This window comes from Homo sapiens, chromosome 15 (genome assembly GCF_000001405.40).
Source record: "Homo sapiens chromosome 15, GRCh38.p14 Primary Assembly".
NCBI classification, from domain to species: Eukaryota; Metazoa; Chordata; class Mammalia; order Primates; family Hominidae; genus Homo; species Homo sapiens.
Genome location: NC_000015.10, coordinates 21,485,175 through 21,499,111, shown reverse-complemented (window position 1 = coordinate 21,499,111; position 13,937 = coordinate 21,485,175). Strand labels below are relative to the sequence as shown.

The window sequence follows — 13,937 nt, the reverse complement described above, 5'->3', positions numbered from 1 at the left end:
TTCATGCAATAAACACTGTAACATAAAGAAAGCTTCCTGAACTGTGTGTAGTGTAACTGAAGGTGGGACTATATTGTTACACCTCACCGCTTACAAATACTTTATTCTCTAAGATCTAATTTTTACTAACTTCCTATTAGAGATTACAGAAAGCTATTTTGAGATTATAAGCAGTGATAAGAATGCATTTAAAATGTGGACTTCATGAAGCACTGCGTTGAACAGGATGAAGTGAAATAATCCCGATTCCAGAGTTAATCTGGAGTCAGCCATGTGAATTTAGGACAGGAAATATTAATTTATTGAGGCATTGTGCAAAAAATAGTTACGTGATATTCTGCATGTAAATCTGGGTCCCCCACACCAATATCCTTTGAAAGGAAGGTTTATCCTCGGAATCACAAAACATTGAGTGGAATGCTACAGTTTTGTAATCACTGCTACTTTAAACAGCAGTTAGCCACACTAAGCAAGAATAGCTGTAGAGATTAAAATGTTACATTAAGTGTTCTTTAAAAATGAATATATATGGTATATATAAAAATGTAAATTCCAAAATAATATAATTTTCATCTATAACATGATTTAAAGCAGGGGACACTGGGAAGGGATGGGGGCTGAACCCATTTTATGGCACTCTTCCCAGTCTAAGGTACCTTTTACTTTATCTTAATGTAGAATGTTTTATAAAGAGAAAATCAATCCACTTTAAATATTGGGTTCACATTACTTTTCAGGCTGGACAACCATTTCTTGAATTCTTAAATTATTTTTATTTGACAGAATTATACATTGAGGTAGACATAGGGGTTCGCTGTTCTGCTGAGATCCTTTTTTCTTTTAGGTGCCCAAGAATTCCCATCCCTCCATGGTTCAAATAATAGGTAGGTTGTTATAAAGGAAGCTGGCAACAGGCAATAACATTACTTGTAAGTAAGTTTTTTTTCCTCAATAGGAATCTAAGATTTTGTTTTTTTATAGCAAGCATTTTTTTCTTCAATTCAGTTGTAACTGGTACACAACAAAACATAAATATGTACTATCAGGTATAGGATGTTTTGGGGGTGTGTTGTTGAAAATTTAGTTTCACCTTATAATGTTGACCACACTTTCATGTCTGTTAATCTTAATAAATTATGATCATCTTTGTGTGAAAATTTGGTCTGTTTTCATGACTCCTCAAACTTGCAGTATAGGTGATGATACAGTGAAGATCTGTTTTCAGGTTTCTTCTACCCATCTCATCCATGAGGTTTTTCTTTCCTCTGAGATACCTAAATTGTACTTTAATATGATACAAGACTAGAATTGAGAGGAAACTTTATTTTCTCATGTTTTGGGAGAAGAAAAAATAGAAATGTGTCATTCATGAGGACTGATTGACTCAGAGTTGTTGTGCAAATGTTGACCTTTGAACTCTTTGTTCCCATGCCCCTATTTTAATTCAAACCTTATACTCAAGTCTCAACTTGTTTTTAGGGGGTTAGCCAACGTTTCCCTCAGAACAGTATCAGTGCAGCAGGAAGTGCCATGTTCCTCAGATTTATGAATCCTGATATTGTCTCACTGTATGAAGCAGGGATTTTAGATAAAAAGCCACCACCTAGAATCGGAAGGGGCTTGAAGTTAATGTCAAAGGTGAATTATTTTGATAATCTAGCTATCTTAAATTCCCCTTCCAACTAAATTTTCAGCTTTTCTTACAGTACTTCCTCTTACATTTATATTGGAAATACCCTACGGTTTTCAGTTATGTGTTTTTATTTTGTTTATATTACAAAGGAATTCATTAGTTAGGTACCTGATGGACCTTATTTTCATGAGAATACGTTTTATTATAGCAGATGTCTTGTGTCATGAGGATCATTTTTTGCGTAATCATTCTAGACATTCTGAAACAGACTACAGTGAAGGCTGTAGGATTTTTTATTTTAAGACATTAAACATTTTTAATATGTATTTGTACATGTAAATATAATTATAATTAGGAAGAATAGAAACACTACCTAAAATATAGAATGAGAAATGATTGATTTTAACTACTAGCAGAAATTATATCAAGAAAATTCATATTTTTAAAGAATATATTAATGTATAAACTTCATACAATAAATAATCTGATTATTTATAACCCTGTTTTATTGTGTAAATACTTCAGAGTATTGCCAATCATGTTCTCTTCACAAAAGAAGAGCATATGCGGCCTTTCAATGATTTTGTGAAAAGCAGCTTTGATGCAGCTTGAAGGTAAGCTACTTGCCACTTATTCACTTGCTCTGTTTGAATCAAATATTTTCAGTTTCACATAAATCCATGTACCTGTTTTACATGAAGTTCCGTGTAGGTTTTTTTCTCTTCCTGCTCTAGGTCAAGACATAGCTTGCCTTATTTTATTTTACTATAAAAGACAGTCTTGAAATAAATTAATATTTTTTATAATTTGGTAGTGATTTTCATATTTGAAAACCAAGAGGCATTTTGGACATGTCTAGTTAAATAAAGGATTTGAGGATGGTACAATATGGGGATAAGGAAGAAATAGGATTCCTTTTATTTAAAACTAAAACCAAATTGGTATTGATAATGCATAAGAATGTTTAATAAGGTTTTTATTAGTATCAGAATATTTGTGATACTTAAATTTGGAAGTGTATCTAAACTAAAATGTTATTCTTTAAACCAAGTAATGCAAACACGTAAGATTTTGTTCATGAGTAACTGAACTTTATGATTTTAGAAAACTTTTCTGCTGGATTTCCATAACCAGTTATTTCACTTTATTTCTCTGAGTTATTGGTTTATCTGTAAAGTGGGGATAAACTCTTTGCCTGAGTTGTTTTTAGAGAGAAAAAATGAGATAATTCATAAGAAAGTGCTTTGTAAATTTATGTCTGGAATTCTGCTTTTCATGCAGTGTGAATCTAATTGATCCTTATCATCTAAGCTAGCCTTGTACAACTCTCTCTTCCAGTTTATCATCATTGTAATTGTTACTGACTTTTATTCTTTTAGGAAAATTGGAGTTTAAAAGGTATATTGCTGAATGACAAGCCATGTTGGAAAGAGAGTGAATGTCAGCACAGGATTCATATTCTGGCAGACTGAGGGCCCAAAGAAAGTTAAAAGGAACAAAGTTTTAATACTGGCTTTGACCTAACAGGCTATATATCTTTGGGGAGGTCTTTTGTCTGGACCTTCATTTCCTTATCTGTAAAATACCAGCCTCTTTCCAAAGTTTCATCCATCTCAATTTTGCTGTTCTTTAACTACAGAAGCTGAAGCCAGGTATCAGAAATGGAAAGCCAACTTTCTCCTTGTCCTTTTTACTTTGTCTAATGACAAATCACGTTGTGGGAACAAGCCCTCCATATTTGTAATTGTCATCTCAGTTGCTTCACAAAGTTACTTCGTATAAATTTAATTCAAACATAAGTATGGTGTGTCTCTGGTGTTGAAAATTCTAGTGACTTTGCATTTTCTAATGTTTTTTCTTGATATGGCATCTGATTGTCCTACAAGTGATGCAGTAAATCATAGCCTTTCCTTCAGCAGTGACGGCAATGTGCTCGCTTTACATCATCTACTCCGGAACAATCAGGAGAAAATTGGCCAGTGTCTTTCTAACAACAGGTAAGATTTCCCAGTCATGAGGATAGTGAACATTCTCCATTTTAATTTAGATCAATAAAATTATTGGTCATGAATAGTGCTTTTTAAAAACTTTGCATCTTCTTGGACTAAGAATTATGGTTTAGAAAGAGAAAGTCTTTTTTTTTTTTTTTTTTTTTTTTTTTTCAAAAAAATACAAACGAAAGGTTAAGTCATGTTAAATAATCAACAAACCTATGTAGGTTCCAGTGGTGGTTATTATTATTATTTTCTCAAGTTAAGAAATCACAGATTAGCTCTTTGGGTTTGTATGGCTTGCAAACTGTCATAGACCCAAAGAAGTTCAAATTAGTGTTGGCATTTGAATCTGAAGAACAGCTAATTCATAGGAATTCAGTAATTAAAATATTGTCAGTGTTTCAATTCTATGATAAACTCATTTGTGATACTCTAAGTATATGCAAATAAAGCTTTATATAGAAAATACTGGCCTGGCACTGTGGCTGATGCCTGTAATCTCAGCACTTTGGGTGGCCGAGGTGGGTGGATCACCTGAGGTCAGGAGTTCGAGATCAGCCTAGCCAACATGGTGAAACCCCATCTCTACTAAAAATTCAAAAATTAGCTGTGCATGGTGTCAGGCGCCTGTAATCCCGGCTACTTGGGAGGCTGAGGCAGGAGAATTACTTGAACCTGGGAGGCGGAGGTTGCAGTGAGCCGAGGTTGTGCCATTGCACTCCAGCCTGGGCCATAAGAGCAAAACTCCATCTCAGGGGAAAAAAAAAAAAAGAAAAAATACTTAAAAATTGAAATTATTAATTTGGGCATTGTTTCATTAGCTCTTATTAGTCTCTTGTGTTAACATAAATTACTTGCTGTCCCATCTAGTTATATAAACTTGTAAAGGGACAAAATTCCTAAGTATGAGGAGTTCCTTACAAAGGAAAAATGAGTCCAAATTATTTTTAAATGCCAATAAAAGTGGTTAGCACATTCACAGGAAAAGTAGTGGACTATGAAGCTAAGGGTAAGCAATTGGGAGATGGGAGTTTAAACCACAGAGCATTTTAATCTTTTATGCATTATTAATGGATTGAAGTAGACATGGGCCTGAGGTCTTTTGGGTGCTGTTTACAAATCAACAGGGACCACCAGCTGACAGTTAAAGGAAAAGCAACAGTTACAAGTTAAAGAAATGTGTACTGCTAAATGTGAACTGCTACTTTTTTCTAAGTAGTTTGCTATATCTAGGGATCATAAAGCTGTTGGAAGATGACCTTTTGATAAATGGCAACACTTCTTGTATACCTCGGTCCTCCAGAGCACAAACCTGTGGCAGATACATACCGGTCCAGCCTTAACCTTACCAGTTAAAAGTTTGAGGAATTTATGATGAGGTAAAGTACAACCTTGAAATGTAGACTGCTTTCTTTTTGGTTGAGAAGCAGAGTTTACCACTAGGCCACTTGTTAGATATGATAGAAGACTATGAGGAAAGATGCATCTAATAATCACATTGCCATGTTTGGGGACCCAACTTTTCTCCTATTCTATATATTATTTATATATATATATATATATATATATATATATATATATATATATATATATATATATATAAAGAATATGTTTTATATGTTGATTGCCATAATAGTAGTAACAAATCATATTTTATCATCTTGCTTTCATAAGTTTTCACATTTAATACCTACCAGGGAATGAAGAAAACATTATTTTCAGATGATAGTTAAGGAAAATGCAACTCAGTGTGAATAACTGGCTTGTGTGAGATCCCACACCTGATTCATAGGTCTTTTGGTTTTAAGTGCAGAACTTTTCTACTACACTATAACACTTTTCAGAACCCTCATAAAGATGAATGGTTTTAACTTCTTTTAGATTAAGGCTCAGAAAATATAGTCTACTTCAGTATTGCTATAAAATTTCTGTGGACATTTGTTTTGAATCCCATTTCATGGCATTTAGCTTGTGAACAAAAAGATCTTCATGGTTAGACACTGACTCTATGATGATACAGTGAGAGTAGTTTGCTGAATCTTTTAAAGTACATTTCACAGTACCTTATGCTTAGTAAGGTCTCCATAGTGTCTGTGAGTTGAATGTTGTGTTCACAGTATCTGCCAAAACAGAAAGAAAAAAACAAAATCTGATGATGAGAAGTTAAAGCTTTGTATATCATATGCCTTGAATTGTAAGTGCCTGTTGTTAGTTGTATTACATATAGGTCATGGTTTTGTACACATAACTCCAAACCATTGATACTGTTAAAAGAATATATGAATATATGAAAGAATGTATAAACATAAGAATGTATGGGTATATAATGTACTTTCCAAATTAATTTTTATTTTTAGCTTTGTTAGATTTTTCTTAGTGTAGCAAACGTTTATTCCTATGTAATTAAGGGCATATTTTCTGTACAGAATATTCATATTACCTAATTGAAAATTATATAATACAAAAATATAATACTATTTTTAGGCCAGGCATGGTGGGTCATACCTGTAATCCCAACATTTTGAGAGGCCAAGGTTGGAGAATCACTTGAGACCAGGAGTTCAAGACCAGCCTGGGCAACATGGTGAGACCTTGTCTTAAATAAATAAATAAATAGGTTGGGCACTGTGGCTCATGTCTGTAATCCCAGCATTTTGGGATGCCAAGGCAGGAGGATTGCTTGAGCCAGGAGTTTGAGACCAGCCTGGGCAACATAGCAAGACTCCATCTCTACAAATAATAAGATATTAACCAGGTGTGGTGGTGCGTACCTGTGGTCCCAGCTACCTGGGAGGCTGAGGTGGGAGGTTTGCTCAAGGCTGAAGTGAACTGTGAATGCACCACTGCATTCCAGCCTAGGCTACAGAATGAGACTTGTCTATAAATAAAGAAATAAGTAAAAATATAAATTAAAAGAAGTAAAAAAAATAAGTAAATAGAAATACATATAAAGATGAGTACATCAAAACAAACAATTTTTAAATTTAACATCACTGAGGACATCCTGGCCATTTTTCTATTTTTCTAGGAAAATGTTTTTATTACTCCTTTTTTTCTAAGATCCTACCTTTCCTTACAAAGCAGTCTTTTGTGCTTTTGAAGATTATGTGATCTAATATATATAGTATACTTAGGACAGTATCTGGTACTTGTAAAGTGTTTAATAAATGTTAGATCTTATTTTTGTTCTAAATTCCCACTGATGCTTTTGGAGACCCATTTTCTGTTTTAAAAAAATGAAGGTAGCTTTATAATAGCCTCAGTTTTTTTTTTTTTTTTTTTTGAGACAGAATCTCGCTCTGCTGCCCAGACTGGAGTGCAGTGGCATGATCTCGGCTCACTGCAAGCTCTGCCTCCTGGGTTCACGCCATTCTCCTGCCTCAGCCTCCCAAGTAGCTGGGACTACAGGCGCTCGCCAGCATGCCTGGCTAATTTTTTGTATTTTTTGTAGAGACAGGGTTTCACCGTTTTAGCCAGGATGGCCTCGATCTCCTGACCTCAGGTGATCCACCGGTCTCAGCCTCCCAAAGTGCTGGGATTACAGGCATGAGCCACCATGCCCAGCCAATATTCTGTTATTTAAAAAAAATTATTGAATTACTCAATATAGAAATCTAAAGAAAGTAAAAAAAAATTAAAAATTGTTTATCCTCCTGCTCAGAAATAATTCAGTTAACGTATGGTGTATAGTCTCCCAGTCATTTATCTATGCACATGTATATGTTTTTCTCCTATCAAATGATATCTAGGTTGTTTCCATTAATATTTTTAAAATGCTGACCTGGTACCAGCAGCATGATGGGCTGAGTTAATACAGTCTCCTTCCCAAATCACAATACTCATAGATACACTAAGTGTAAAAGAAAACATGTATACTTAAAAAAAATTAGGAAGAGTGCAGTAGCTTACGCCTATAATCCCAGCACTTTGGGAGGCTGAGGCAGGTGGATCACATGAGGTTTGGAGTTTGAGAGAAGCCTGGCCAACATGGCGAAACCCCATCTCTACTAAAAAAAAAATAAAAATAAAAATTAGCCAGGCATGTGACGGGTGCTTGTAATCCCAGCTACTTGGGAGGCTGAGGCAGGAGAATCATTTGAACCTGGGAGGCAGAGGTTGCAGTGAGCTGAGATCGTGCCACTGCACTCCAGCCTGGGCGACAAGAGCAAAACTCCATCTGTTAATTAATTAATTAATTAAGTTTATAGCTGAAGGTAGTTTCTAAGCAAATTACCTAGCATACAGTCATTACAGACAAAGAAATGGAAAATATGAAAGAGATTAAGAGATGCAGAAGATAGAATGAGAAGTTCCAAAATATGTCTAGTAGGTGTTCCCTAGAAATTGAGCTCAGTGAGAATGGGAAGAAGTAATATTTGAAAGGGTAAAGGATGAATGTTTTCTAGAGTTGATGAATGACATTAATCTTGAAGTTAAAGAAGCACACTGAGTCTTGAGCAGACTATATAAAAAGTAAACCAGGCTTTAATACATATGGGAACATAATATATGATAAAAGTGGTATTTGAAATCAAGATTAGGATGGACTTTCAATAAATGGTGTTGATAAAACTGAGTAATGATCTGAAAAAATATTTTCATACCATTTATGAGGATAGACTCCCATAAATCAGAAAGAAAAAAAAACATGGGCAAAGCAAGGCCTTTTTCATCCATTCAAAATCCATAAACTAGAAAGGAAAAGATTAATAAAATGAATTCGTTAAAAAATCATAAACTTCTGTCTGACACAAAGAAGTCATGAGTAAAAACAATCCTATGGTTAATATCCTCATCCAGTAGTTCTCTTAGAATAGTCCTAAAAGTGCTTTTGTGGTTCAAAGAGTAATATCTTGAGATTTTTTGTGCATGTTGTCAAATTACCCTTTAGAATGCCTGTTGCTTTTAAAATAATTTTTCATTTTAGCATTTTATTGTTTATCCAATTATGGGCTGTTTTACATACTCAGTAGACAACACAAAGCCTCACAGTTACCCTGTTCTTTTTCTTTTAGGCATCAGGTATGTGAAAAAGAAGAGATCAAGGCTTTGAAAACATTAAGTATTTTTTACCAAGCTGGGAATTCCAAAGCTGGGAAGCCAATTTTTTATGTTGCAAGGAGGTACGAAATACTATGTTTTGGTGTCTCTTAACAGAATTTTTTAAATGATAGTAAATATAGAGAGATGGCAAGTTTGGTTTTTCCCGTTTGACTTAACAGGAATTGAAGACAAGTTTACCTGGGAGCATATAGTGGGGTAAATAGCCTGCCTTTCCTAAAATGATGGTCAATATCTAATAACTGCTTTTCAGACTACCCATTTCATATTGGTTTCCCTGTCCTACATCATTTTTTTAAGACTGCCTAAAATGGATTAATTACCAAGAGTTAAAAAACCACAAAGAATCTTTTGTTTTCAAGTATATTCTGATTAAGTACTACTCAACAACATGATAACCGGGAACTTTTTTCAATTTTATTTTATTTTATGATTTTATTTTTGAGATGAAGTCTCGCTCTTGTCCCCCAGCCTGGAGTGCAATGGCACGATCTTGGCTCACTGCAACCTCCACCTCCCGGGTTCCAGCAATTCTCCTGCCTCAGCCTCCTGAGCCCTCCCCTGCCAAATCCTTCCCAGCTTCTGGTAATCATCAGTTTATTCTCTGTCTTCATAAGATCCACTTTTTCAGCTCTCACATATGACTAAGAACATGTAATATTTTTCTTTCTGTGCCTGGATTATTTCACTTAACACAATGATCCCCAGTTATGCCTTGTAGCTGCAAATGACAGGATCCCATTCTTTTTTATGGCTGAATAGTATTCCATTGTGTATACATACCACATTTCTTTATGCATTCATCTGTTATGGGCACTTAGGTTGACTCCATATATTGGCTGTTGTGAATAGGGCTGAGATAAACATGGGAGTGCAGATATCTTTTTGATATATTGTTTTTTTTCTTTTGGATGTATACCCATCAGTGGGATTGTGGGCATATAGTAACTCTAGTTTTAGTTTTCTGAGGATCCTCCATGCTGATCCTCATCATGGCTCCTTTATGGAGAGTGTGTGAGGGTTCTCCTTTCTCAGTATGTTCACTGGCCTGCTGCCTTAGACATTAAATCAGGTGCTACTGCGGTATTCCGAGTTGTAATTAGTTTTTTATTTTGACATCTATAAATCTTCAGGCAGCCAGACAGCTTGATAAAGTTAAGCCAAATACAGTTTTTCTAGGAGTGGTGAATTAATGGGAGAAGTGGCCAGATCATCCTTGTGTGTAGGTGTGAGCATGTCTGAGTGTGGCGAGGGAAGGTGGTTGGGTAGAGAGTGCTGTGAGGGAGTGAGGTGGGAATCCCCCTAGCTAGGATTGAGTCATTTTTTTCTTCTTCCATGCAAAATGCATATTCCCCATTGTGGATTTCTGAGTGTGTGAGTGATGAAGAAATAGGGCATGTGCCTTGACCCAGTTGCAGCTATTGCCTCCATGTGCCTGAGGTGCCTTCCTCATACTCTAGCATGTTACTGGGCAGACAGTCAGTATTAGCACATGCTGCTGGTCCTTGTGAGCACAGCACGAAGACGAGAAATGCTGGCAGAATTTTGGCTTGAGGGCCAATAGATGTAATAAATGTAATACAGTTAGTTTTAGAACATAATTCCATAATTTGATTCGGGTCAAATAAATCATTTTAACCAAAATTTCTATTGTGGAAGAAAATCTTTCAAGAATTATGAAATTTGTGTCTCAGAATTGGCTCATTTAAGAAAAATAATACTGTTCAAATGTGCGAAGGCTGTCAAAGGGTTTGTTGTATAGCTTTGCATTGGCTGAGTTTTCAATGTTTAGACATTTGAGTATAAGAAAACTGCTACACTAAAAGTAATAGACATAAAAATAAAAAATAAACAGCTGTGTAATGTTATCAGGCTAGCTAGATGTTATGCATCTGTGATTCTGAGGCTTCTTTGCAGCATTTGGTTCATGGAGGTTCTGGTAAGACCAGCTTGTGAGCGTTGATGTTTCAGAGCAGGTTATTTTCTATGGTGTGAAAGATGCAGTCATTGCCAAGAGTCACAAAAAGTGAGGCTGGGAAGAGGATACACTGAATAAAGTTTTAAGGAAGTTTAAGAAAGCACACACCACATTGCCATTTGCTTTCTTAAAGTTTCAAGGAAAATTTCTAAAAAATACGTTCGTATGGTTTGTAAGGTTCACATGAGATAAGGAAGTAAATAGAGCACTTAGCATAGGAATTGGAAAAAAAATACTTATACTTTCAGACATAGAAGACATACAGTTAACAGATTTCAGAGTCAAGCACTGGTTAGATAAAGTCAAATGCTCTCTTTAGATGTGTACTGCAAGGCATTAGCCAGGTGCAGTGGCTCATGCCTGTAATCTCAGCACTTTGGGAGTCCAAGGTGGGTGGGTCACCTGAGGTCAGGAGTTTGAGACCAGCCTGGCAAACATGGTGAATCCCCGTCTGGACTAAAAATACAGAAAATTAGCTGGGCGTGGTGGCACACACCTGTACTCCCAGCTACTTGAAAGGTTGAGGCAGGAGAATTGCTTGAACCCAGGAAACGGGGATTGAAGTGAGCTGAGATCACGCCAGTGGACTCCAGCCTGGGTGACAGAGAAAGACGCCGTCTCAAAAAAAAAAAAGAAAAAGAAAAAGAAAGACAATATTGGTGTTTTAGATTATAAGAATACAATTTTGATCATAATCATTTACTGTTCTTTGTCATGAAGAACTACTGATCTGTCTTTGTAAACCTGCAAACCTGATCATTGAGAAGTCTGCATCACTATTGATGACAACTTATGGTTCTTCATTAAGTGACCCAGTTCATTTGCTGGAAGATTGGCTGCCTGTTAGCCCATAAAAAGATCCTTTTTCTAGTGAATATCATTGCAAAGTGAAACAGGAAGAGTGGAAAGGTACAGTCTGTAGGCTAGCATGCGATGCACCATGAAACTCATCATGAAAAGGACATGTGTGTCATTAATCATGGCCACATTGATCACGGCCCCACTCTCTAGGGAAGAAGCCAGTTTTTTCCCTTCCCTGAGAGATACCATAACTGAGCCGCCATCAGTATCTTCAGCCTTCCCTTGGAGGAGGATGAACTTGACCTCGATGGTAAGTGATTGATGGTTGACTTAAGGGAATTTGGCTGGCCAGGAATTTGGCTGGCCAGAGAGATGTCCTTCCTCCCTCACTGCTTCCTCATGGAAATGTTAATGAAGATTAAACAAATTAATATATGAAAGTAATACCTGGAACTTAGTAAATCTCAGTGAATTTTAGTCACTATTACTGCTCCTGTGGACCTCAAGTATCAAGCAATGTGACTATGATCAGTAGTGAACTAGCCTTTCTGTAGGCATATTCCTTTGTTTCTCTTGGCTAAATACCTGGTAGTAGAATGCCTAGTGCATATGGTAAGTGCATGCTCAACTTTTTAATACACTGCCAAGTTGTTTCCCAAAGCAGTTGAACCATTTTCCATTTTCAGCAGTAGTGTATGAGAGTTTCAGTGGCTCTATATCTTGACCAGCTTTGGTATGGTCCATCTTTAATTTTAGCCATTCTGATACATATGCAGTGCTATATCATTATATATATCCTTTTTTGAGACTGAGTCTTGCTCTGTCGCCCAGGCTGGAGTGCTGTGGCGCGATCTTCGTTCACTGCAAGCTCCACCTCCCAGGTTCAAGCGATTCTCCTGCCTCAGCCTCCCAAGTAGCTGGGAGTACAGGCACCTGCCACCATGCTCAGATAATTTTTTGTATTTTTAGTAGACACAGGGTTTCACCATGTTGGCCAGGCTGGTCTCGAACTCCTGAGCTCAGGTGATCCACCCGCCTTGGCCTCCCAAAGTGCTGGGATTATAGGCGTGAGCCACGGCGCCCAATCTAGAGCATCTTTTCTTGTGCTTGCTTCTGTCTGTATGTCTTCTTTGGTGAAGCATCTGTTTAAACCATTGCCTATTTTTTATTAGGGTGATTTATCGTCTTACTATTGAACAGTAAGAGCTCTTGTATATTTTGGTTACAGATCTTTTGTTGGATGTATGTTTTGCAAGTGTTTTCTTCCAGGTGAGCACTGCCACTTCATTTCATTAACAATGATGTTGAAATAGGAAAATGTGTATTTTGGGGGAGTCAACTACTCTTCTCAAATCTGCCTGAATAGATTTATCCTTTAGGCCTCTTTTGTGGCAAGACAAATTCATAGCTGAGAAATTTATATGGGAGGAACAAAAAAGTAACTGTACCACTATCTAATATTGAGCACCAGTATTAGTGCAATTATTTAATAATGTAACTTCTTGTTAGTATAACATTAGTGAAAAATAATTATGAAATCTTTAGTATGTTTATCTTCTTCCATAAAATAAATTCATGGCCAGTGGGGTGTCTCACGCCTGTGGTCCCAGCACTTTCGGAGGCTGAGGTGGACAGATCACGAGGTCAGGAGTTCGAGACCAGCCTGGCCAACGTGGTGAAACCCCATCTCTACTAAAAATACAAAAGTTATCTGGGCTTGGTGGTGGGTGCCTGTAATCCCAGCTGCTCGGGAGGCTGAGGCAGAAGAATCGCTTGAGCTTGGGAGGCGGAGGTTTCAGTGAGCTGAGATCACGCCACTGCACTCCATCTTGGGCAACAGAGCAAGACTCTGTCTCAAAAAAATACATTAATTAATTTAAAAAATAAATTCATCAAATAACGACAATCACGAGAGTGACTACAAAAGATGGGCGTGTCCTCAGAGTCTGGCCTCAGTGAGTTTGGAGTGGTGCATACCAGGAGCAGCAGAGGTTCCAGGGAAAATTGTAGACAGAGGAAACAAACCACCATGAAGGAGAGTCAGTGGCAATAATCATTACCAATGAAGAACTGTAGAGTCGTATTTCAAGAATGAAGGTGAGAGCCGGGTGTGGTGGCTCATGCCTGTAATCCTAGCACTTTGAGAGGCCAAGGCAGGCAGATCACCTGAGGTCAGGAGTTTGAGACCAGCCTGGCCAACATGGTGAAACCCTGTGTCTACTAAAAATACAAAAATTAGCCGGGTGTGGTGGCAGGTGCCTCTAATCCCAGCTACTTGAGAGGCAGAGGCAGGAGAATCACTTGAGCCTGGGAGGCAGAGGTTGCAGTGAGCCGAGGTCACGCCACGGCAGTCCAGCCTGGCGACAGAGTGAGACTCTGTCTCAAAAATAAATAAATAAATAAATAAAATTGAGGTAGTCATTTACAGAAAAATATAATCTTTAAGACTTAAGAGCATTTAAGACCAACA

At 37.0% G+C, this 13,937-nt stretch overlaps 1 long non-coding RNA gene across 1 annotated transcript in view; it reads left to right on the top strand.

The window, feature by feature from the left end:
• The first annotated feature begins 831 nt into the window (after window positions 1-831).
• LOC105369227 (uncharacterized) overlaps window positions 832-13,937 on the top strand; it is a 31,295-nt gene continuing 18,189 nt past the window's right edge. Inside the window, exons 1-5 of the long non-coding RNA XR_007064502.1 lie at window positions 832-884; window positions 2,159-2,247; window positions 3,520-3,630; window positions 4,861-5,006; window positions 8,643-8,750. This is a non-coding gene — a long non-coding RNA (uncharacterized LOC105369227). The remainder of the gene's footprint in view (window positions 885-2,158; window positions 2,248-3,519; window positions 3,631-4,860; window positions 5,007-8,642; window positions 8,751-13,937) is intronic.